This window comes from Homo sapiens, chromosome 9, assembly GCF_000001405.40.
Source record: "Homo sapiens chromosome 9, GRCh38.p14 Primary Assembly".
NCBI classification, from domain to species: domain Eukaryota; kingdom Metazoa; phylum Chordata; class Mammalia; order Primates; family Hominidae; genus Homo; species Homo sapiens.
In genome coordinates, this window is record NC_000009.12 from 124,585,706 (window position 1) to 124,612,606 (window position 26,901).

Below are 26,901 nucleotides of genomic sequence, written 5' to 3' on the forward strand. Positions count from 1 at the left end.
GGGCTTTCATAGCTAGAGAGAAGTCAATGCCTGGCTTCAAAAAATAGGCTGACTCTCTTGCTAGAAGCTAATGCAGCTGGTGACTTTAAGTTGATGCCAATGCTCACTGACCATTCAGAAAATCCTAGGACCCTTAAGAATTATGTTAAATCTACTCTACCTGTGTTCTATAAATGGAACAACAAAGCCTGGATGACAGCATGTATGTTTATAGAATGGTTTACTAAATATTTTGAGCTCACTGTTGAGACCTACTGCTCAGAAACAAAGATAACTTTAAAAATACTGCTGATTGACAATGCATCTGGTCACCCAAGAGCTCTGATGGAGATGTACAAGCAGATGAATGTTGTTTTCATGTCTGCTAACATAACATCCATTCTGTAGCCCAAGAATCATGGAGTAATTTTTGACTTTCAAGTCTTATTATTTAAGAAATACATATCATAAGGCTATAGCTGCCATAGATAGTGATTCCTCTGATGGATCTAGGAAAAGTAATTTGAAAACCTTCTGGAAAGGATTCACTATTCTAGATGCCATTAAGGACATTTATGACCTCATAGGAGGTCAAAATATCAGTATTAACAGGAGTTTGGAAGAAGTTGATTCTAACCCTCATGGATGACTTTGAGGGGCTTCAGTGGAGGAAGTAAATGTAGAAGTGGGAACAACAGCTAGAAACTAGAATTAGAAGTGCATCCTAAAGATGTGGCTGAATTGCTGCAATTGCATGATAATTTTTTTTTTTTTTTCAAGACAGGGTCTCACTCTGTCACCCAGGCTGGACTGCAGTGGTGTGCAATCACAGCTCACTGTAGCCTCCATCTCCTGGGCTCAAGCAATCCTCCTGCCTCAGTCTGCCAAGTAGCTGGGACTACAGGCATGCGCCACCATGCCCAGCTAATTTTTTTTAAAATTTCAGTAGAGACGAGGTCTCACTATGTTGCCCAGGCTGGTCCCCAAGTCCTGAGCTCAAGCAATCCTCCTTCATTGGCCTCCCAAAGTGCTGGGATTACAGGTGCAAGCCACCACACCCAGCCCATGATAAAACTTTAATGGATGAGGAGTTGCTTCTTATGGAGGAGCAAAGAAAGAGGTTTCTTTGTAGATGGAATCTACTCCTGGTGAACACTGTTAAAATGACAACAAAAGATTTAGAATATTACATTAACTTCATTGATAAAGCAGCAGCAGGGTTTGAGAAGATTGACATGAATTTTGAAAGAGGTTCTACTGTGAATAAAATGCTATTAAACAGCATCGCATGCTACAGAGAAATTTTTCATGAAAGGAGGAGTCAATCAATAAAATCGGCTTCATTGCCTTATTTTAAGAAACGGCCATAGCCATCCCCCAACCTTCAGCAACCACCACCCTGATCAGTTAGCAGCCATCAACACTGCAGCAAGATCTCACAGCAGCAAAATGATTCACTGAAGCCTCAGATGGTCGTTTGCATTTTTTAGCAATAAAATATTTTTAAGTTAAGGTATGTAGGGTTTTTTTCTGACATAATGCTACTCCACACATAACAGACTATAGTATAAACACAACTTTTATATGCACTGAGAAACCAAAAAATTCGAGTGACTTGCTTTATTGTAGTGGTCTGGAACCAAACTCGCAATATCTCTGAGGTATGCCTATCGCTTCTCTATTTGCAAATCAAAGCACAGTTTATAAAAACTCCAGATGACAAACTGGTGAGCCAGCCCAGAGACCTTGTGCCAATGCTCAAAGCTCAGTAATCAGCTCCCTAGGTCCCTTCACAGTTCTGAGGCCCTCGTGAAAGAAGGACCAATTAGTATGCTTTAAGTGAAACCGGATGTTCTAAAAGGGTAAAAAATGTAGTTGCCCACTACCTTGCCAAAGGCCACTTTTTCCAAAATTCTCACCAGATTCAGAATAATGGGCCCCAAACACAGACGTGTGCATTATTGGCCATTCCCATTCTTATTTGCCCAGAAAGTGCTTTTGTAACTTCTTCCACATGTAACAATGTTCAGAGAAAGTGCTGGAGTCTGCATTCATCACTAAGACCGCAAATTATGAAGCTTCAACAATGCGAATGAGCACTCTTTTACACATTACATTCACATGACTTTACTAACGCAGCCATCAGAACCAAAGGTTCTGCTTCCCTAAGGCGCTGGATCAATAATTCCCCCCTCCCTACCAACAGTCTCACTTGCTCTGTAGCCTAGGTTGGAGTGCAATGGCAAGATCATAATTCAATGCAGCCTTGAACTCCTGGGCTCAAGTGATCCTCCTGCCTCAGCCTTTCAAGTCAACACTTTTACAAAACTAGAACTCCTCTCTCCTCAGCTCCTCACAAGACATTTATCATTCTCCAAAGTGCTCACTTTGGTAAGACTAATGGTTAGTGAAACTAACTAACTAATAAATCGAGTCTAAGTTCTTGTCAGCATATGATATATGATGGACTTTCCATACTAAAACTATTCTATGATAGATGGTTTTTCTCTCGCATCAGATTGGTAACCTATGGCAAATGTTTTAGTGTATGATTCCAAATGGCATGTGGAGACAAGAGCAGGAGTGCTGAGAGAAAATTAATTTCTACATATCCTAAAGGAACCTAGATCTAGAATTTTTCATGATGGAGTCTCACTCTGTTGCCCAGACTGGAGTACAGTGGCGCGATCTCCACTCACTGCAAGCTCTGCCTTCCGGGTTCACGCCATTCTCCTGCCTCAGCCTCCCGAGTAGCTGGGACTACAGGCGCCCGCCACCACGCCCGGCTAATTTTTTGTATTTTTTAGTAGAGACGGGGTTTCACCCTGTTAGCCAGGATGGTGTCGATCTCCTGGCCTCGTGATCCACCCGCTTCGGCCTCCCAAGTGCTGGGATTACAGGCGTGAGCCACTGCACCCAGGAACACGTCGTACTGTTAATATTCTAGGTTCCTGGCCCGGCGTGGTGGCTCACGCCGGTAATCCCAGCACTTTGGGAGGCCGAAGCAGGTGGATCACAAAGTCAGGAGATCGACACCATCCTGGCTAACAACGTGAAACCCCGTCTCTACTAAAAAATACAAAAAATTAGCGGGGAATGGTGGAGGGCGCCTGTAGTCCCAGCTACTCGGGAGGCTGAGGCAGGAGAATGGCGCGAACCCGGGAAGCAGAGCTTGCAGTGAGCCGAGATCGTGCCACTGCACTCCAGACTGGGCGACAGAACGAGACTCTGTCTCAAAAAAAAAAAAAAGAAAGAAAAAAAAAACAGTATAATGTGATGGTCAGTTTCTTAAGGTAACTGGTTCATGGTTCAAACAATGGTATGGCCAGACTATATCCAGTGACAGGAAAAGACACTCACTGTGGCACATCATCACCTCTCCCTCTTCCTGCTCCCAGTCGAATAAAAGAGTCGAGGATAGCAGATTTTCTTGTCAGCAGCAATTAACAACTACCTCATGGCAAAGTTAAAAACAAAAACAGGCCAGGCCGGTGGCTCACGCCTGTAATCCCAGCACTTTGGGTGGCTGAGGCGGGTGGATCACGAGGTCAGGAGATCGAGACCATTCTGGCTAACACGGTGAAACCCCGTCTCTACTAAAAACACAAAAAATTAGCCGGGCGCGGTGGCGGGCGCCTGTAGTCCCAGCTACTCGGGAGGCTGAGGCAGGAGAGTGGCGTGAACCAAGGAGGCGGAGCTTGCAGTGAGCCGAGATAGCACCACTGCACTCCGGCCTGGGCGAAAGAGCGAGACTCCGTCTCAAAAACAAACAAACAAAAAATAAAAAATAAAAAAAATAAACATAAATGCATATGATAGTGTACATGTACACATACTCTTATAATAATGACCAAGGCCAAGACTTGATGGCTACCACCTACTGGTTGCCAAGCCTTTCATTTGCATTGCTCTTCTTTCCACACTGACTTGTGCACATTTTGAGATTAAATGCTCACAGGAATGGTGTCTGCTTTTTTCTTTTTTCAAATATCTAAAACATACATTTTCTTGTGCAGTGGTTATTTAATATACCATAAATAAATATATCTGATACTTAATAAGTTATCCATAACTTATTAGCTCCTTTAAAAAGCAAAGCTGGCTGGGCACCTTGGCTCATGCCTGTAATCCCACCACTTTGGGAGGCCAAGGCAGGCAGATCATGAGGTCAAGAGATCGAGACCATCCTGGGCAACATGGTGAAATCCCGTCTCTACTAAAAATGCAAAAATCAGCTGGGCGTGGTGGCGCATGCTTGCAGTCCCAGCTACTCAGGAGATTGAGGCAGGAGAATCGCTTGAGCCCAAGAGATGGAGGTTGCAGTGAGCCGAGATCGCACCACTGTTCTCCAGCCTGGTGACAGAGCAAGACTCTGTCAAAAAAAAAAAAAAAAAAAAAAAAAAAAAGCAAAGCTAGTCTACTGTAGCCATCACACTGAAGCCACATGCTGAAACTTCATAGAAAGGAAAACATTTCGCTAATGGTAAATAGGATGCTAACAGAGAAACAGAAAAATGAGGTTTCGACTCTCTCTACATTTTTGCCAATTGTAATTCAGGCCTCTAATTTTACCATGTTAAGAAAAATATTAAAATATTCTATTTTGCAGCCATACATTTGGAAGAGCAAATAAGTCACAAGAAATACCTAGCAAAAGTAGTTAAAAAAAAAACCCAAAAAGCAAAAACCCTCAAAGAAATACAGGGCCCCAAAGTGAGAGCAAATCCCACTGCTAGCTCATCTTCTCCCCCAGTCACTCTCAAAAGCTCCACTTTTTAAGTGGTGAATATTCAACATCTGTTAAGCAACATTAAAACTATTTTTCCTTCTTTGTAGATCAAAAAGGAGATCTGTAGTTTAGGTGAGGAATTCTAACTCACCTCTGTTCCTAGTGCTTAGAAAATAGTAAATACTTCATGAATGTTAGCTGCATAATAATTTTATATACAGAGATTAGAATAACAAGCCATTGATATAACCCCTGAACCCAGAAGGCAGAGAGGTTGACAACTCCAAAGTTAGTAAGGCAATGATTAGCATGCTAACAACATTCCCAACTTCACTACTTCACAGTAAAGCTCCTGAGAAAGGGCTATCAAACATGGTCATGGCAACTGTCTTGGCATCTATTTATCTATCAAAACACAGGAAATTAAGACTAACTTTATTATCCTTCTTTTCCTGGTTATGATTTAACATCTCTGTTACCTTAAAGCCCATCCCCCTCTCCATTTTCTTCCAATCAACAGAACTGTAAAAGACTTTCTGTAGAGAAAAGGCCAGAAATTTTGCAGGGACCCATTCATGACTAATTATCACTACCACAGGAATAGCATATTAACACTGCAATTGGTTCTAGAAGGCTCAGCAGCTGGCCCCACTGGTTGTACAGCATTTTCAAGGCTAAATTTCCAAAGAGCCCCTCCCTTATTGTTGCTTACCGAATGGAGGCACTCCCTGGAGACCTTAGAGTATAAACACCACCAGCCATAGGCTCACCCAAGAATTCTCTTTTTCTTAATTTCCCTAAATTTGCTCCTCTTTGAAACTCATTTCAATTCAAGCCACATTAAGCATGTTCTGGGCACTCTTGACAGTTTTCTTATTTAATTCCCATAGCGGTCCTGTGAGATAGGTATTACTATCCTCTGTTGCATATATAAGGAAATTGAGGTTCATAGAGGTCAAGTGACTTGGCCAAGTGACAGAGTCAAGCTGATGAGGTTCTTTCTCCAACACCAGGAAGCCTGTAGCAAAGCCATATACGTAGCCAAGTTTTTATGAGCCATCTGGGCAACAGGGGACGAGTCCTTGCCACACAGACCAAGGGATCCATCCAGAGGCAACAGAAGCAGCAGTAGTTTTTGTTTTTTTGTTTTAATGGTTTAAAAATCCTACAGGAATTCTGATTGGTCCCACTAACAATCCATCGAGGCTCACCAGCCGGTTGACTCCTGACCTTCCATGCTTCTCATCCTAATTAATGCAAGGTCCTTGGATCACAGTGTGAGCATCAAGACCCTGTTAGAGTTAGCAATGACCTTTACATCTATCAGGCTTTTCAAAATATGTAAAACAGCTGTGCAGTGTGAACACCTCCCCCACCCCCCACCACACACCCTGACCAACTCTTAACCTTGAAATATGGGTAGATGCATTTTTCCTAATTATAGCGTTTTCCCCAAGTTTTTAGGAAATGACTTTTCACACAGCTAAAAACCATTTGAGATGTAGCTTTTCAATTGCCCAAGCAAACTACTGAGGCATGCAAAAAGAAGATTCTTGCAAATAGATTAATTTCCTCGGCTTAAAAAGAAACCCCAGTAGCAGGGGAACAGAAAAAAACGAATGATGTGAAAAAATTGGTGGTCGCGGGGTGGGAGATTGTTTGGTTGCCATATTTGTGCCTCTGATATCCTTTTGTTCTCCCACCTCATTGTATTAAGGATGCTAAATCAAACATGATTGCAGCGATGTTTGTGTGTGAAAATGACAAAAGCAATGGGCCAAAATCCCAACCTCATCTTGAACCCTGAGGACTTTTATGGCTTTTCCTTCACTAGGCCCTCCCCCTAATACACATTAAAGACCACATTGTTCAAAAGGGTCATGGTAGGTTTCATACCCCATTTTAACACAACGGAAATGGTAACTGAATTTCCAAGTTTTGTTAGTAATATTTGTATGTCCATGGAAAATGTCCATTAAAATAATCGATTCTTTGGTTTAAATATTAATGGAGAATTACAATATATCAGAGGGGCAGAATCAATTGTGTCAAGGAGGTACTGTTTGCGGTGATTAAATCAGATTTTCTTCCTGTACATCATTTTCCCCAGCAAAAGGGTACCGATTAGAGATGGGTTAAAAATATCCAGATGATGTGAGGCATCCAGATATTTTTCCTAGCCTCAAAATTGTCCAGATTATGTCAGTTTTCAACTCAAGAAGCCTAGAATAAACTAAACTTGCTAATTTCAAGCGCAGGTCTCCCCGCCTCCCCTTATTCCATTTGTCTGTCTGCAAGCCACATTATGGACCCCCAGTTCATTTATGCATTTATTCCTGGAAGATTTCAAGTTGGGAGAAGACTATTTAAGGCTGTTTAGGATTCCATTTTTCTCAGCTGTTACCAGTCAGTTGTCACCAGTACTTTGGAAGTTTAGTAGAAGAAAGGTGGCAATGACTCCATTACTCTTTCCAAATGCCATAAAGAATTTGCATCAAGAAAGTACCTAATGAATTAATGCCTTAGTCCTCTGGAAAAGGATACAGTAAAACAGGAATGTTACAGGGTTTGGGAAAGGGGAATCTGAAAAATGAAAATCTGGGCTGGAGTAAAAGAATAACAAACTTGGTAGTGTTTTAAATATCACAATTTCATTGGCGGAACTGCTCACTTTCCCAAGCTCAGGTGTTTTTGCTTAACACCCATATAACATGTATTAAGATGTGGCACGATATCACAACTTTAGTGCATTTAAAAATCAAATCTACAATTTTTGTAGAGTTCTTGACTATAAGTCTGGTTTAAATTATCTCAAAATAACACACTAGGAACATCTGTTTAGCTCAGTTGAAGTTTCGAGAGCCAATACCAGCTGTTCGGGGAGGGATTTCGCACATGTGTTACTCAAATCCTAACCAAATCTTAGTTTTTTCATTCCCTTAATGATGCCTCCAAAACCAACAGGGTAAAGCAAACATTAGAATAAAAAAGAAGAGAAAAAGGGAGGGAGGAAGAGAGCAGAGAGGGGGAGAGAGAGAAGAAAAAAGATTACTTACTCAATGCTTTGATGCATGTGACCAAGACCCAAATGATCACCCTCTCCAATTCAATACAGTATTAGCATGAGGACAAAAGGCATTTAAAAATCAATTTGGAGTTATTTTTAGTGGGGGTTGCCTAATCTTTGCAAGTTGAGGAATGAGAATATTCCCCAACGTTGAAAGGGCACTCAAGTATTTTTCTCCTTTAAGCGGCAATCTAATTTTCACAGAGAATTCATTCGGTGTCATTGTTTTGGTTTTAGGTGTCTGTCCTGCCAGGCAGGGGCTGTGCACAAGGGCTGCATCTATCTTGAAGTGTGCACAATGGCCTCTCTTACGGCTCTCTCTCTCTCTCTGTTATTGATCCTTACAGATGCTCCAAAGCCCTTCCCCCACCTTTCTCCAAATCCCAACCCCCATTCTGAAAGATAGCTTAAGAAATAAGACTTCCTGCCTAGCGACTGGCAGGGCTGAAAGACCAGATTGTATGACTCCACAGATCAGGCCTGCCACAGTGAAAGCTTGAATAGAGTTAACCCTCTGTGAACTAAAACAAAACATTTGTATGCCCAGCTGTGACAAAGGTTAATTTAAATGGACAAGGGCCCAATATCTAAAACCAGGCAATGCTTTTTTTACAGTAGCATTTTCACTGACCTCTTTTGTAAGCAGTTGATTTTGCCTCTTAAGATTCCAAAACCTCCTACAACTGGGATCATTCATTTTGCTTTATTAGAATTTTCAATGAAAGATCTAGGTGAACAATTTTAAATTCATTTCCTTATTTTATGAAAGTTCTTGTTTTGGTACCGTAAGTTATTTTCTGCAGTTGAATGACTAAGAAGAACTGAAGTTTCAAAACTTAAATATGAACCAGGGGAGAACTTTCTGTGCAAACCTTTTTTCTCTTTCAGAGCTAGCAGACTACATATCACTAAGAGACTCAAGCTCGTCGAAAAAAAATCTAAATTCTCCAGAGTCATCCCTTCTAAACTCATGTAATTACTGCTCTGGGACTCTGCCAGCTCCTAAACTCCTGTCCAACAGATCCAAAGCAAATCTTACTTCTTAAACTACTCCTTTCTGGAAAAGCTAGTATATCCAGGATAGTTTAACAAAGAATTTCTATGCATACTGGGGGAGGAGGCTGTTCAAGATAAATAACAGGCCTTATATATAACTGGTATTTTCTACAAACTTTCTCTTGTTTCTGCTAACTTGCACTAAAAACCAATAATTCTGGCATGTAAGGTGCTGGGGTACAACATATAAGGGAGGAATGAAGCCAAGGTTACTAAAAAGAAGAATGCTATTATCAGAGGGGGTCCCACTTCCCTGGTTTGTGCATCCCCAGAGTGAGAATGAAACTGCAAAGCTGCCTTTGGCAGATGTTAGCCACGCTGCAAGAGGCTGGGAAGCTTTCCCAGGACCAGCTATTTCGTAGGGTTAATGCCAGTCCTAGAAATTTATCAACTGCTTCAAAGAGTCGGGAACTCTTCTCAGTAGTGCTTGCCTTTAAGAAAACCAAACTCTTGCAAACTCTTAGCTTGTACTTCATAAACATGGCAAAACTTTAATACTAACATTCATCCATTTTATCTGTTCCTTCAGCTGTATGTGTCTTTCCTGGCCTAAATAATAAAGTTGTGGAAAAGTGGGGTTTCTCACATAACTAGGAGACTATCCCAAATAAACAAGTTATAACACTAGTGACTATTCATTACATACACACACATGCAGAAAATGTACCCATTTAAAAAGCAACCCACTTAAAAAGAAATTAGCAATGGCTTAGTCTTATATCCCAAACTGTAAAGTATAGAAGCTCCCTACCAGAGGATGAGGTTGCCTTATCAATGGCCTCATGACCCCAATTCTATCTATAATTAACAGTAGTAAATAAGACTTTGGCAGATAGCGAACTGGATTAAGGAATTTAAAATACAAACAACATCTGTCAAGAAATAAACAACAATTTTTAATGTAAATTTTATCTATGTACTGACACGTATATTTAATTTTTTTAAAATCACTATAAAATTTAAATTAATCCCCTTTCTTCTGCTCTTCATCAACCACAACAATGAATTCACTGCAGTTCTCTCTCACTTTTCTCCATTCCAAAACATTTACAGCCACTTGCTACATACATGAAAACTTTCTAGCTGAACTCTGCGAAGACACAAAAAAAACAGTTGCCTGTGGACTGCCTCCCTTCTCCCTCAAGGCTATTTGCTCTAAACCTTCAAAGAAAATTTCTAACCCTTAGATTTGGGCCCCAGACTGTTCCTTACCTTCCCATGTCTCCATTTCATGCTTCTTGTAGTCTGCTGAAAAGTTCTATTGCAGCCATGAAGAAACAGAGATTACAGGACAAGTCCAGCTTGATGACTACCCTTCCGACACTTGGTCAATTCCTCTAAGCCGGGACTACGACAGTCATCCTCACAGGTCAGTTTACAAGCTGGTCATGTGATTGCAAAGTTCAGGCTCTAAGGTCACAACGTGTACGGAGTTCGTTTATTACCAAAGGTTATCTAAGTGGAACTGATAGACTTATTTTCTTTAGTTAACAATACTGCCTAGCACGTCTTTCTGAAAACTATTATGGGAACCATTTCATGGGAAATTCTCCTCCAGTCTTCTTTAAGCTAAGATCCTAAAATTAAAAGGCAGCATTTTAAAAGAATTTATTTAAAAGGGTTCTGGTATGTGGGGCTTTTCTTCTTTTTTTTCAAGAACTATTCTATGCTATAGTCTTCCAGACTGGGTTAGAAAATTTAAAGCCAAAACCTTTCGGTCTAAGGAAAAGACAAAACGGAAACTCAATGTTAGGTATGTAGGGTTTTTCTGGGGGGTATGGGGGGCGTGCAGAAGTGGGATTCCCTGTTTTCTGTCATTACAATAAACAATGACAAGGCAAATTCCTCTAAGAAAATTAATACACAGAGCTAAGAGTTGTTTGCAGGGCTTACTTTAACTCTAGCCCTTCATTTCCATGCTCTGGTTATCTATACTAGTTTGAAAGAATGCAAGAATGCTCTGGTTATACATATTAGTTTGGAGAAAGGAAACTAGGTCTGCAAAATCCTTTTACAAAGCAAAAGTTACTAATTTCACCACCCCCAATCCTTACCCTCAGCCAAAAGTTTACACCTTCAAACTAAGCTTCTTGCTTCATTCCCCTAAAACTCATAAGATCTTAAACAATCATCATGCTATAGCTTCCCTGATTCATGAACCACACCAGCAGCACGCAGCAGAGTGTATAACACCGAGTGTGCACATACACACTCATACCTTACCACAGTACCCCAAAGGCTGGCAAATTGGAGCCACGTGCTAATGGCACATGATGTCAAACATTCAGCTAAACATTCAAATATCAGGACACAATAAAAGGGCAAGCTCCACTAAGAAGGTGGAATGTCCCCAAGAGAAACTGATTTCTGAGGATAAATGCTTTTTAACTGTGTAAAATGTTTCATTCTATGAAATCTCCCCTGCCAATTTAGCTTTAGGAATAACTTAAAGGCTATGCACACTTTACAGCTGTATTCCAGAAAAAGGAGACCCTTCTTGGAGTAGGACTGGAATCTGTCACTTAGCAGCCATATAACTGAATGGCAAATATTGCTACTACCATTACTAGAGGGCTTTTCTAACCAACAGAGAGCATTAGGGTCATCTTACAAAGTAGAGCCTAAAGAGAAAGTGACCAATGATTTAGACGAGGAAAAAGGCTGTAATTTGTCTAAAAATAAATATTCTGCCACTGCCATGACACACTTTACCCCATCATAAATACACTGACCAGCTTTCCCACCCCCCACCCCAACCCCATAGATTAATATTTTCTTCTCAGTCCCTGTGGATTTAACGTAGTTCTTAAATGATTTTAGTAAAGTGACTACAAATAGAATGAGGGTGGAAAAAATGGAAGGGGAAGGTCCACTAGCAAAAAGCTACTCAACTGGAAACAAAGGGCAGCTCTCTGTCTCCCTTAAGGATATGGATTTATTAGAACTAAATATCTGCACACAACAGAGGTGTAGTAAGCCTCTGTGCTTTACTGCACCAACTTTTGGAGGAAAAGATGAATAAGGAGCTATTAGTCTAACTTCTGCTACCAAGACTGAAGCAGACGCCTTGATTTTCAAGGTGAGTCCAACTAACAATCCTTGATGCACCCATAAGCCTGAGAACAAATCTTTAACATAGCTTAAGGAGACAATTAAGTTTCATCTTTGGATATAGAGCCACATTTCTTCAGCATTCTCAGTCCCACAAGTTTTTTGAGAGCACTTTATAGACTCTACTGGAAGAGGCGAGAGAAGATGAACAGACACCACACTGCCCATGTGAATGCAAAAGATGAACTCTAAATCTTATTTATTTTTTTATTTGAGACAGGGCCTCGCTCTGTCACACAAGCTGGAGTGCAGTGGTGCAATCATGGCTCACTGCAGCCTCCACCAGGGCTCAAGCAATCCTCCCGCATGAGCCTCCCACGTAGCTGGGACTACAGGGGACTACAGGCACGCACCACCACGCCTGGCTAATTTGTAAAAATTTTGGGTAGAGATGGGAGTCTATGTTGCCCAGGCTGGTCTTGAACTCCTCGGCTCAAGTGATCCACCTGCCTTAACCTCTCAAAGTGCTGGGATTACAGGCATGAGCAACCACACCCGGCCTAAACACTAATTTTTAACTACGCCTCCAAGTAAGATTGTTTAGCTGGGGATGGGTGTGCACACCAGTAGTCCCAGCTGTTCAGGAGGCTGAGGCAGGAGGATGGCTTGAAGCCAGGAGTTTGAGGCTGCAGTGCGCTATGATTGTGGCCTCTGAATAGTCACTGCACTCCAGCTTGGGCAACAGAGTGACCTCGTCCCTACTTAAAAAAAAAAAAAAGAAGAAGAAGAAAAATCATTTAAGATTAACAGTACTGGAATTTATAAGTGGGAAGGAGAGAGAAAACAGGAAATCAACATTTTCTACTTGCTAATACTAGCTTTGAAATGTGGGAAAAAAGTAGATAAACAAAATTCTAAATCCAAACATACGTAGCATTTGCATACTGCAAATCTAATGGGGTCCAAATTATTATTTTTAAATTTTGTTCTTTATATAACGGCCTTTTGTAAAAATGAAATCAAATAAAAACAAACCAAAAAAGAGGGGCAGAGTAAAATTAAAAAAAAAAAAAAAAAAAAAACAAGGAAGGGAAAGAGAGGAAAAAAATAAGACGATTTATTGTTTCTCCTCAGCATCCTCCTTGGTCTTCTCCCTTCTCCTTCACCGAAAGAGCTTCTAGCTTTTCCGCCACTTTTTCGGCATGATCGCTTTTTTGCCGGATCTTTTCTTTTCTCTCTCTCCAATCTCTTTACTGCATTCTTCAAACTTTGTTTTGAATTTCTGTGCATTCTCAGCATTCAGGAAGCGGATGGCCAGCAGCTCTGGCTTGGGGCACTCGTCGTTCCAGACTCAGGCATGGTCATTACCCACGTTGGGTTTCAGCTCCACCATTGGCGTGTAGTGGTTGGCACAAATCTTCAGGGTCTTGTCCCTCCTCATGAGGAGGCGGGTGGTCCCCTTCTCCTTGTGCTTCAGGAGCTTGACGTCACCAGTGCCTCGCTCGTTCCATTCTAGGAGACGGTTCTCTGCGGCAAATCACAGTTTCGCCCCCATTTTAAAAAGTTCCTCTTTGGCCGGGGGCGGTGGCTCACTCCTGTAATCCCAGCACTCTGGGAGACTGAGGCGGGTGGATAACCTGAGGTCAGGAGTTTGAGACCAGTCTCGTCAACATGGTGAAACCCCATCTCTACTAAAAATACAAAAAATAGCTGGGCGTGGCGGCGGGCGCCCGAGGCAGGAGAACCGCTTGAACCCGGGAGGCGGAGGTTGCAGTGAGCCGAGATGGCGCCATTGCACTCCAGCCTGGGCGACAAAAGCGATACATGGTCTCAAAAAAAAAAAAAAAAAGTTCCTCTTCATCTTCCTCCAGCGTTTTAAAATTTCTTGCTCAGGAAGAGAAACTACTGGCTTAAACTGAGGGTCATGGTTGGACTCGTCTTCATTCTCAATGGAAGTATCGTGGTCTTCCTGAGTGTCCGTGGCAGCCGCCATGAGGGCGCGGCGGCGGCGGCCGCTCGGCTGAGTCGGTCGTCGCCGGCTCCGCGGCCTCTCGGCGACTACTCGTAGCTCCTTCCCTCTGCGTCTGGCCATGAAGTCCAAATTATGAATGGCAGAACCTTAGTTAACCACCAAGAGATTGTTTCCACTTTCATTTTAAAGATGGACAAACTGAATGAAGCTCAAAGAAAGGAAGAGGCAGGAGTCATCAGACCAATAGAGAAGAAAATAAAATATCCTAGTCCTCCATTTCTTCCACTAAACCACGTATCTTGAGGACAGGAAAAGGCAAAGCCTCTTTTGAGATGTTCTTAACACCATTTCCCATATGTTTATTCAAATAGACGCTCTCAAAGATGACTGCAGATTTTGAGGCTGAAGGGGTAAGTTTAGTTCTTCAGTGTAAAACAAAAGACAGCAAATCTAGTGGCCACATGATCACTAGAATCATTTCTGCCTTATTTGTTTTTAAGAACCTTTCAATGAATGTCTGATGCAAAGTGAAAGCCCGGTGACCATTCTCAAGGAGAGGGACTTGTATCCATTTTAGAAAATCAGGAGCATGCAGAAAATGTTTCAAATTCCTTTTTAAACTTACAGAGGTTAAAACAAAAAACAAGAGCCCAAGATCTCTGGTTCTCATCTGTCAGATCCTTGATACAGACATTCCCTATGGCAAGGGAAAGAGTTTAATTCAACTAAATAGGAATAATGAAATCACAGTCAAATGAAGTCCATATTATCTGGGACTAAGAAGCAAAGTTCCTGAGAGTGGAGAAAGAATGAGAGCAACTAAGAACATCCTTGGATACAATTTCCAGTTATGCCTTCAACTCCTGGAGGTGGAAAGAATTCATAGTTCAGGAAAAAACTCAAGGATTGGAAACTAAAATAAAATATTCCAGAAACCAGGTTTTAAAAATCCAATTCTACAAACACTCATGGAGTGTCTCCTATGAGCTAGGCACTATGCTGGCTATGATGACATAAAATAATATTATGTGATCCTTGCCCTAGAAGTACTCATCATCTGCTGACCTCCAACCTTATTTCTCACCACTCCATACTAACTCACAAGCAGTGCACATACACTAAACAGATAAATGACAGTATGATGTTATGAGTACTGTAACTAAAGTGGGTAAGAAAAGTGTTGGAGAAACAAAGATGAAGAAGCAATTCATTAGAACAGACTGAGGTGCCAGAGAGGGCATTACATTTGGGCTGAACCTTGAAGTTCCACAGGCAGACAAGTAGGAAAGGTATTTCAAGACCTGAAGGAAGAAGGAGAAGGAATAAAGACGATCTCAAAAGATTTTGTAATGCCAATGCTATGTAAAAGAGTAATATGACTGGCTGTGGGGGAAAAAAAAAAAAAAGACTACAGAGTGTGCTTTAAGAAAAAAAAAAAAAATGCGGTGGCTCACGCCTGCAATCCCAGCACTTTGGGAGGCCAAGGCGGGTGGATTACCTGAGGTCAGAAGTTCAAAACCAGCCTGGCCAACATGGTGAAACCCCATCTCTACTAAAAATACAAAAATTAGCCAGGCATGGTGGCACACGCCTGTAATTCCAGCTACTTGGGAGGCTGAGGCAGGAGAATTGCTTGAGCCCCGGAGACGGAGGTTGCAGTGAGCAGAGATCACGCCACTGCACTCTAACCTGGCCGACAGAGCGAGACTCTGTCTCAAAACAAATAAACAAACAAAAAAGACTGGCCAGGTGTGGTGGCTCACACCTGTAATCCCAACACTTCGGGAGGCCAAGGTGGGTGGATCACAAGGTCAGGAGATCGAGACCATCCTGGCGAACACAGTGAAACCCCATCTCTACTAAAAATACAAAAGATTAGCCGGGCGTCATGGCGGGCGCCTGTAGTCCCAGCTACTCGGGGGGCTGAGGCAGGAGAATGGCGTGAACCTGGGAGGCGGAGCTTGCAGTGAGCCTAGATGGTGCCACTGCACTCCAGCCTGGGCGACAGAGGGAGACTCTGTGTCAAAAAAAAAAAAAAAAGAAAGAAAAAAGAAAAGAAAAGAAAAAAAAAGACTATATATAGACTATATATATAAAGCATATATAGAGTATGCTTACATAGGCTCAGCAAGGTGGCTCACACCTGTAATCCCAGTACTTTGGGAGGCAGAGGTGTGTGGATCGTTTGAGCTCAGGAGTTCAAGGCCAGCTTTGGAAACATAGGGAGACCCGTCTCTATAAAAAAAAAATTAGCCATTATGGTGGCACACGCCTGAAGCCCAAGCTATCCTAGCTGAGGTGGGAGGGTTGCTTGAGCCTGGGAGGTTGCAGTGAACTGTGATCACGCCACTGCACTCCAGCCTGGGTGACAGAGCAAGACCCTGTCTCAAAAAAAAGAACAGCCTTGTGTTAACAACCAAATGCAATATATGTACTTTTAGATCCTGATTTGAACCAAATAATTGTAAAAAGACATTTTTGGGACAATCCAGGAAATTTAAATATGTGTAAGACATTTAATTAGGTAAGTTTCCTACCTGCGAACTGAGGAACCTGGAAAAGGTGAGCTTTTCCTCCATTTAAAATTTCTCACAATTCCCCAGTCAAGATTTTATCCATGAATTTTTAAAGTATCCCAATCAAGAACAGATTATAACATGAATAAATAAGTCCTTTTTGAATGAAAACAAAGGAATCAGATACAGAGCATATAAATATAAACGCAGTCAACTATTTTGTCTCCTGAGAGGTCTAAACAAGTTGGGACTTATTCATCACATTTGGCACCCGTGACTGTTTACCTTCTTCTCAAGACCCAGATTGGCCCAGAGATTAATGCAAATAAATACTCTAGCCCTGAACACAGCAACAGCTCAAACTGCTGTTAAGCAACATGTGAAGCTGAAGTAAAAAAAGATCAAAGTTGTACAAAGCAAGTCTCAAACTTGGGGGCAGAGTAAAGTGACAGGCTTTCTCCTTTGGTGCTCCTATAAAGGTAGACCACTTGAAGGTTAGTTTTTCCAAGCCAACTCTGGTTTCAGCCCTCACTTCTCTGGTTGTTTCATTTGTTCATACATCCATCTACCTGACCTAGAGACAACGTCAGATGATATAGGAAAAGACTTCTATCTAAAAAGAACTCAGTTCTACGTGAGAATTCTGGGAAAAGGCAAGATAAAATGCCCCCATTAAGTGTGGCATGATCTCATTGAGTCCCATCAGTGGTTCCCAGGAACCTATGGTATAAAGGCCCACACTCCTAAGGCCCTCCCTCTATAACCCAGCTCTTCCTGACTTCTCCAGCTTCATTTCCCACCACTCCTCTTAAGTACCCATTACTCCAGCCATGCTGACCCACTTACTTATAGTGCAAATATTATACTAAGCTATTCCATTTGCCTGGAATAACTCTTTTCACTATTTCCTTATAGTTTCCACTCCCACTTACTAATCTTACTGGACTCAATTTAAAAATCACCTCCTCTGTAAAATATTTTAAGACTCCATTCTCCCAGACTTAAACTCAAAGTCAAATCGCACCCTTCTTCCCTTCTGCCTGGATCCCTAAAATATACTACGACATTACTCATCACGTAGTATTTTTATTTTACAATTCTATCCTTTCTTATTAATCTCATGTACTCCAAAGAGTCAAGCCCAGGGCTGTCTTCAGTTTAGTATTTAAAAGGCTTTCATAATACATTAAAGCAATTAGATGGCTCCTCGAGAGGTGTGTGTGTTGTGTGGGTGGGGTACAGTTCTTCTGTTGAATTTCTTAATAGTGCATTCATATTCTTCTTCATTTTCACATTTTCTAACTCTTTCATCTTACCTCACGACAGGTTTTTTCCCCTAGACAAACTCTACTTCAGAGTCTCCCATGTTTCAGGCCCTGTGTTAAATATACATTTTCTGATTTAGAAGCCTACCTGAGACTAAATCTTCCAACAATGAAGGGCTGGTACTGGTAGTCAAAGGTTCCTGATCAATATGTCATTTGCTGGGTTCCTGCATCAGTGTAGAACCACCTGTTGCTGACGATCTTTTGATTAACATATATAACATATGTATCCGTCACTGGATTCCGAAATATGAGACCAAGGACTGTGCCCCATATTTTTGCCAACCAGTGTATCTCCAGTGCTTGAATATTTGTTGACTGAAGAAAGGAAGGAAAGGAGCTGCTTCAGAAAGCAGCAACATAGGAAAGGGGGAAAAAAAACCTTCAGGAATACAAATAGACCACCTTAGGCCAGCCATTCCCGCAAAGCCAAAACCAGTTTTCCCAGTCCCAATTCCAACTCCAGCAAATCTTACCCATACACAGAGCTCTCCTCTAATTGAGGGATTGGCTGTAATAAATCTGACAAGATCAGTTGCAAATCAGCAAGTGGCAATCCTACCTGCACCAGTTCTATCCCTTTCCACTCTACTAAAAATTGAACTCTCTAAGGATAGGCATAGGTAAAAGAAAGGACAATGAGGGCTTACGCAGTCTTTCTTTAGGGTAGAACTTGGCTCCTGATGGCAAAGGAATCCATTTTTATCCAACAAGAAATAACGCACATAATCCCAATCTGAGTCAACTACACTCAGCAACTGAGCCTTATCCTAGGTCCTGGAGTCAGGAACTGCTCCCCTGAATCTCACATCCTGATATCCAACTGCCTCCTGGGCACCTCCACCTAGATGTATCCATCATAAGCACCTCAGACAAGTCCAAACTTGTCTTCCTTTAAAACTCTGTTCCTCTCTCTGGCCCCCCTGTTCAGTGAAAGGCATCAACCACCCAAGCCAAAAACCTGGCACTCTTTCCATGGCTCCTTCCTCCTCTTTGACTATACCCACATACAACCTGTCATAAATCCTGTCTTTTCTACCCCCTCAAAAGTAGCTGAATCAGCTACCCTGAAGAGGTATTTACTAAACAAAGATGGGATAATTTGAGCATCACTTAAAAATTATTAAATAGGGCACAGTGGCTCACACCTGTAATCCCCGCACTTTGGGACGCTGAGGCGGGTAGATCGTTTGAGTCCAGGAGTTCAAGACCAGCCTGGGCAATATGGCAAAACCCCGTTTCTACCAAAAATACAAAAAATTAGCTGGGTGTGGTGGTGCACGCCTGTGGTCCCAGCAATTAAGGAGGCTGAGATGGGAGGATTGCTTCTTGAGCCCCGGGAGGCAGAGGTTGCAGTGAGCAGAGATCGTGTCACTGCATTCCAGCCTGAGTGACAGAGCAAGACCCTGTCTCAAAAAAAAAATAATTTTTAAAATGAAAAAAATATTAAGGGGAAAAATCAGTATTTATCTTGCCTTTCCTAGATGAATTATACCACAGGGTAATAAACAGCTATGGACAAATTTCTTTATAGAAGCATTCCAGAGGATAAACAAACAAGAAATACTGGAATTAGAATAACACCGTGAAATAATAGATCCTAGATACCAATCATCAAACGCTGCTAACCATTACAAAAAGAAAGAACAAGACAGTACATATCTTCTGATGGAAGAACTCAACACCCCCATGAAGTAGTCTTGCCAAAAATGTTGGATCTGAAGGCTTGAAGTTGACTAAGTCTCTATATCCATCTTCTAAAATAAAAGAACTACAAAGTTCAGAATAACACATTCATCTACATTACAAGGATGTAATCGGCAATATCTGGGTGTGGTAAATTCAGCAAGACAAACCACCAACGTCTCAACTTAGAGGGGGAAAAAAGATGGAGGAGAAAATCTACAGATTAGGAAAACTAACCTGGGCAACAAAGTGAGATCCATCTTTACAAAAAATTTGCCAGGTGTGGTGATGCATGTGCCTGTAGTCCTAGCTACTTGAGAGGCGTGAGTATCACTTGAGCCAGGAGTTCTAGGCTACACTGAGCTGTGATCATGCCACTGCATTCCAGCCACTCCAGCTTGGGTGACAGAGCAAGAGTGAGAGTCTGTCTCTTAAAAACAAAAAACCCTCGCATCACTGCACTCCAGCCTGGGCAACAGAGCACGACTCTGCCTCAAAAAACAAAAACAAAAGAACACCAAATAAACAAACAAACCCCACACTTTTAAAGGATAAGGATACATACTGGAATATTAACAAATGAAATAATGATACTTAAGATTTGCTTCAAAATAAAATGGAAAATGAATGGGTGGAACTATGAGTAGGACAGGGTTAGCCCTTCGATGATGGTTGTTGAGGCTGGGTACATGGCCTCATTATACTACTTTGTATTTCTATTTTTGTTTTATAAAAATTAAAGCACACAAACAAATCTTGAATCCATCTATTTGTTTCTGTCATCACTCTCACAGTCTTGACCACCACTATCTCCCATCTGGCTTATTTTAGTAGCTTCCTTTATGGGTATGTCTTGCTTGCTCCTTGCTTTTTCCTTTCTCTTTTTCTGCATCACCTTCCTGCAATCCATTCTCCATCCTGGCTGCTAAGACTCAAAACCATGCCAGTTCTACTTAAAACCTTTCACGGCCTTCAGAATAAAGCACCTTCCCAACCTCATAAGAGCCTTCCTCTCCCTTCTCCCTTCTCATATTCCCAATGCTCTCAGCAAATAGTGCTATTTGCAGTTTCCCAAATGCGCCTTTGCATGTAGTGTTACTTCTGCCTAGCTAGTTTCCATGAATTATTTAATGATCAGCAAATTCAGGCATGACATCTTCTATGAAATATTCTCCTACTCTTCCCTGCCCTAAAGGTTCCAATTCTATGAATGTCCACCATTTCATCCCTTTGTGTGCCTGCCTCCATGTGTCTATGGGTCTGTGAATATTCCAAGAACAAGGGACCAGGGTTTGATTCATTTCTGTATTCCTGGAATCTATCACAGAACATAGCAAAAATGGGTACTTGATATATGTCTGATGGATTAAAAAAAAAAGGCCTAGGCTTCCAAGAAATCCATAATTCTATAGAAAGAGCTAAATAAAATAAGGGGCAGCCTGGAATTATATACTTTGGAGTCAGACAAACTTGGTATCAAATAGCAACTATACAACATGCATTAATTTTGTAAACTTGGGCAAGGCACTTCAATTCTCCTAAGTCTGTTAAATGGGAACAGTGATTCTTCAGGGTTATTGATTAAATAAGTATACAGTTCAAACTAACTAAAATTATCTTTAATAACACAACTCTATGTTCACGTGACAGTGAGGTAATTTAACAAACTCCAAGAACACAGGGTATGTGCCATCACCCGCTGGCAGCTTGTCTGACCCCAAAGGCCATGGGCACCTCCCTGTCAATAGGAACTTGATAAACTGAGGAAAGGGGATATTGCTTCCCTGCTACTTTCTAAGTTCCTGCTCCCTTTCTGTGTATATTCACTCATCTTTCTCTTTGGTGAATCCTGAAATATTATTCAATCCTGGGCTTTGGAACTCAGGTTTTTGTTAGTTTAACCTTTAAATATGTTGAGTAAAGGGAACAGGTATCAGAGATTGGGATACATACTCCAGCACAAGGGACAATAAAACTTGATGCTGCTCCTGGACATCCTGGAACTGCAACTCAGGCCCCATTCTCTCAAGCTCAGGACTTTTTATTTTTTCTTTTATAGAAAGATAGAATAAGCTGGGCATGGTGGCATATCCCTACGGTCCCAGCCACTCACGAGGCTGAGGCAGAAAGGTCACTTGAGCCTAGGAGTTCTGGGCTATAGTACACTACGCCAATCCGGTGTTCCACACTAAGTTCAGCTTCAATATGGTGATCTCCCAGTAGCAGGGGACCACCAGGTTGCCTAAGGCGGGATGAACTGGCCTAGGTCAGAAATGGAGCAGGTCAAAACTCCCATACTGATCAGAAGTGGGACTGTGCCTGTCCGTAGCCACTGGATTCCAGCCTGGGCAACACAGTGAGACCCCATCTCTTTAAAATTAATAGGAAGATAGAATAAAAGAGAGGTTCAGCAAAGAAATTCTAGGGTTAAATCGAGATTCAAATTTTGGATCCTGTAAATTTACTAGCTATGTGACTTTAGGTAAATTGCATAACTTGTCTCAATTTCCTCATCTATAAAATAGGTTGTTAGCATTACCTACCCCATGGAGTCTCTGTGAGAACTGAAAGAGATAATCTTATGAAAAATGTTCAACACAATGCCTGGCAAACAGTAAATTTTCAATAAACTTAGTTAATATTACTTAGAATAATGTTTTTCATGAAATAATACCTGGGTGGGCACGGTGGCCAACACCTACAATCCCAGCACTTTGGCAGTCTAAGTTAGGATGATCGCTTGAGGCCAGGAGTTCAAGACCAACCTGGGCAACATAGCGTAACCCTGTCTCTACAAAAATAAACAAGTAAATAAATAAATAAGCAAGCAAGCAAGCCAGTCAGCCATGGTGGCAGACAACTGTAGTCCCAGTTACTTGGGAGGCTGAAGCATGAGGATTGCTTGAGCCCAGGAGGTTGAGGCTACAGTGAGCCGTGATCACGCCATCGTACTCCAGCCTAGGAGACAGTCTCAAAAAAATAAATAAAAAAAATAATTTCGTGCTTAGGAGGAAAAATGACAACCAGAAAACAAAATTTAAAAAAGAAAAAAGCACTTTTTAGATTTTATTTTTATTTTACGTTTCAGGGTACATGTGCAGGTTTGTTACACAGGTAAATGTGTGCCATGGTGATTTGCTGCATGTATCAACCCATCACCCAGGTATTAAGCCCAGCATATCTTAGCTATTTTTCCTGATGCTCTCCCTCCCCCACCCCCAACAGGCCCCAGTGTGTGTTGTTCCCCTCCCTGTGTCTGTGTGTTCACGTTGTTTAGCTCCTACTTATAAATGAGAACATGCAGTGTTTGGTTTTCTGTTCCTATGTTAGTTTGCTGAGGATAATGGTTTCCAGCTCCATCCAAAGGAGCGGCAAAGGACATAATCCTATTCTTTTTTATGGCTGCAGAGTATTCCATGGTGTATATATACCACATTTTCTTTATCCAGTCTATCATTCATGGGCATTTGGGTTGATTCTATGTCTTTGTTATTGTGAATAGTGCTGCAATGAACAAATGTGTGCATGTAACTTTATAACAGAATCATTTATATTCCTTTGGGTATATACCCAGTAATGGAATTGCTGGGTCAAATGGTATTTCTGGTTCTAGGTCTTTGAGGAATCCACACACTGTCTTCCACAACGGTTGAACTAACTGACATTCCCACCAACAGTATAAAAGCATTCCTATTTCTCTGCAGCCTCACCAGCATATGTTGTTTCTTGACTTTTTAAGAATCACCATTCTGACTGGTGTGAGATGGTATCTCATTATGGATTTGATTTGCATTTCTCTAATGATCAGTGATGTTGAGCTTTTTCTCCTATGTTTGTTGGCTACATAAATGTCTTATTTTGAGAAGTGTCTGTTCATGTCCTTTGCCCACTTTTTTAATGTGTTTTTTTCCTTTTAAATTTGATTAAGTTCCTTGTAGATTCTGGATATTACATCTTTGTCAGATGGATTGCGAAAATTTTCTCCCATTCTATAGGTTGTCTGTTCACTCTGATGATAGTTTCTATTGCTGTCCTATTTGTCAATTTTTGCTTTTGTTGCAATTGCCTTTGGTGTCTTCATCATGGAATCTCTGTCTGTGCCTATGTCCTGAATGGTCCTGCCTACGTTTTCACCTAGGGTTTTTATGGTTTTGGATTTTACATTTAAGTCTTTAGTCCATCTTGAGTTGATTTTTGTCTATGATGTAAGGAAGGGGTCCAGTTTCAATTTTCTGCATATGACTGGTCAGTTCTCCCAGCATCATTTATTAAATAGGGAAACCTTTCCCCACTGCTTGATTTTCTCAGGTTTATTGAAGATCAGATGGTTGTAGATGTGCAGCCTTATTTCTGAGTTCTCTATCCTGTTCCATTGGTCTATGTGTCTGTTTTTGTACCAGTACCATGCTGTTTTGCTTACTGTGGCCTTATAGTCTAGTTTGAAGTCAGGTAGCCTGATGACACCAACTTTGTTCTTTTTGCTTAGGATTGTCTTGGGTATATTGGCTCTTTCTTGGTTCCATATGAATTTTAAAATAGTTTTTCCTAATTCTTTGAAGAATGTCAATGGTAGTTTAATGGGAATAGCATTGCATCTATAAATAACTTTAGGTGGTATGGCCATTTTGACAATATTGATTCTTCCTATCCATGAGCAAGGGATGTTTTTCCATTTGTTTGTGTCCTCTCTGATTTACTTGAGCAGTGGTTTGTAGCTCTCCTTGAAGAGGTCCTTCACTTCCCTTGTTAGCTGTATTCCTAGGTATTTTATTCTCTTCATAGTAATTGTGAATGGGAACTCATTCATGACTTGGCTCTCTGGTTATCTGTTGTTGGTGTATAGGAATGCTTGTGATTTTTGCACATTGATTTTGTATCCTGAGACTGCTGAAGTTGCTTATCAGCTTAAGAAGCTTTTGGGCAGAAATGATGGGTTTTTTATAGGATCATGTCATCTGCAAACAGACAATTTGACTTCCTCTCTTCCTATTTGAATACCTTTATTTCTTTCTCTTGACTGATTTCCTGGCCAGACCTTCCAATACCACATTGAAAAGGAGTGGTGAGAGAAGGCATCCCGGTCTTTTGTCAGTTTTCAAGGGAAATATTTCCAGCTTTTGCCCATTCAGTATATGATATTGGCTGTGGGTTTCTCGTATATGGCTCTTATTATTTTGAGATATATTCCTTCAATGCCTAGTTTATTGAGAGTTTTTAACATGAAGGGATGTTGAATTTTATAGAAGGCCTTTTCTGCATCTTTTGAGATAATCTGTGGTTTCTGTCTTTAGTTTTGTTTATGTGATGAATTACGTTTATTGATTTGTGTAGGTTAAACTAGCCTTGCATCCTGGGGATGAAGCCAAAGTGCTCGTGATGGATAAGCTTTTTGATGTACTTCTAGATTCAGTTTGCCAGTATTTTATTGAGGATTTTTGCATTGATGTTCATCAGGGATACTGGCCTGAAGTTTTCTTTTTTTGTTGTATCTCTGCCAGGTTTTGGTATCAGGATGATGCTGGCCTCATAAAATGAGTTAGGGAGGAGTTCCTACTTTTCAATTGTTTGGAATAGTTTCAGAAGAAATGGTACCAGCTCCTCTTTGTACCTCTGGTAGAATTCAGCTGTAAATCCGTCTGGTCCTCGGCTTTTTTTGGTTGGAAGGCTATTTATTACTGCCTGAATTTCAGAACTCATTATCGGTCTATTCAGGGATTCAACTTCTTCCTGGCTCATTCTTGGGAGGGTGTATGTGTCCAGGAATTTATCCATTTCTAGATTTTCTAGTTTACTTGCATAGAGGTGTTTATAATTGTATTTTTCAAGAGTTCAATACACCAAGCTGAGCGGAGAGGTGCTTTTGACCCCAAATAACTTTCCTTTCTGAATCTCAGGTTGGAGTGCTATTTGAGGATACTACCTGGAAGTATCCTTTTCCTGACCCATTCAGTAGTTTAGCCTTCTTCAAAACTTACTGTGCGGAAGGAGGAGGCAGGTATAGTGGGCTTTGGAGTTAAACATGTTCAGTGTCCCACAGTAAGATACAATAACTTTCTTTTATCTCTGTGAGCCTTCACTTCCCTTACCAAAAAAAAAACAAAATTGGGATCAGGCCATTTTGGTTGAGAATGTATGTAAAATACTTCTCATTATCACTAAAGTACTTATCATAGGCCCAGCAAACCTAGCAGTAGTTATTATTTTCCTTACTTCCAGAACCATGAGTCACGTTCTCTACAAGAATCTCTGTTTTCAAGCCCATTAGTGAGACAGAGTGCTTGCTCAGACATCCGTAGGGAAGAGATCCCCCAGAGTAGCCACCAAAGACTACTCTCCAGTCTTTGCTCCAAAATTAGAGACAATTTAAGGCTGGGCACAGTGGTTCACACCTCTGATCCTAACACTTTGGGAGGCTAAGGCAAGAGGATTGCTTGAGGCCAGAAGTTTGAGACCAGCCTGGGCAATATAGTGAGACACTCACTTCTACAAAATTAAAAATTAAAAGAAAAAAAATCAGCTGGGCATGGTGGCACATGCCTGTAATCCTAGCTATGTGGGGGGCTGAGGTGGGAGGATCACTTGAGCCTAGGAGGTCGAGGCTCCAGTGAGCCGTGATTACACCACTGTGCTCCAGGCCTGCACAACAGAGTGAGACCCTGTCTTAGAGAGAGAGAGAGAGAGAGAGAGAGAGAGAGAATGAGAGAGAATGAGAGAGAATTCAGCATTCAGAGCAGGTCAACACTGAGCAATTCCCATTCTGTGCTAAGCTGGGGATGGGTAGGTCAAGATGAATGAGTCAAGATCTTATCCTTGAAGAGCTCAAGCCAGCAAGCCAGTGTAAGGGATAATGATATCTATCTTAGAAGAGGGGCAAAATACAAGGTGTGCTCAGAGAAGAGGTGCTTGTCTTAGCTGGGGTGCCAGTAGCTCACCACTATTTTCTTGGAACCTAATATGTATCTGATGAATATCTGGAAGGGTTTCCCAGAGAAAGTGATAGCTGAGCTGTGCAGCTATACTGTTTAGCTCCTTGTGTCCCAGAACCTTGTGCTTTTTGATAAGGTTTCCAAACAAAACTAAACAAGGAATTTAAAGCAGATGTCAAGTAACAAAGGATAGGTTTCCACTGCTGACTTGAACCACTCTTCTCTTCTGCCCCTCACTCTCATAGTCCACCCAGATTCCCAGGAGCAACCTTCATTTGGAACAAAAGACAAGACTTATGCAGACCCTCCATAGAACTGACCCCGGGCTCAGATGTGTAAGGACAAATCAGTGTGGAAAGCAGAGAAAAAAACAGTTCCAGGACTGAGAGGAGACCAATGACTTCTAGAAAATGCTTTCCTGGGACTTCTTCAAGCATCCCTTCTTGACAAGCCTGCTTGGACAGATACCCCAGCATCTCTTCAGGACTTAAAATAGCACTGCACCTAAAGGGAAGAGTACCAGGAACATAAGCAGGGGGAGCTCACATCTGAGCACTATGCAAAGGAACCTCATAGATACTCCCCTCTTCTCAG

General features: G+C 41.4%; 1 protein-coding gene and 2 pseudogenes across 6 annotated transcripts in view; 1 reads left to right on the plus strand and 2 right to left on the minus strand.

Moving 5' to 3' along the window:
* NR6A1 (nuclear receptor subfamily 6 group A member 1) overlaps window positions 1-26,901 on the minus strand; it is a 254,037-nt gene that overhangs the window by 68,431 nt on the left and 158,705 nt on the right. For 2 of the 6 annotated variants that reach the window (XM_047423226.1, XM_005251918.6), the window contains exon 1: window positions 10,044-10,170. The exons of the other annotated variants lie outside the window; for them this stretch is intronic. In XM_047423226.1, coding sequence (XP_047279182.1) covers window positions 10,044-10,059 — 16 coding nt within the window. In that variant the 5' untranslated portion in view covers window positions 10,060-10,170. Of the gene's footprint in view, window positions 1-10,043; window positions 10,171-26,901 lie in introns of those variants that run through there. 6 annotated transcript variants of the gene reach the window in all.
* On the minus strand, window positions 12,853-13,971 carry LOC100419284 (RAN binding protein 1 pseudogene; annotated as a pseudogene).
* On the plus strand, window positions 21,454-21,753 carry RN7SL302P (RNA, 7SL, cytoplasmic 302, pseudogene; annotated as a pseudogene).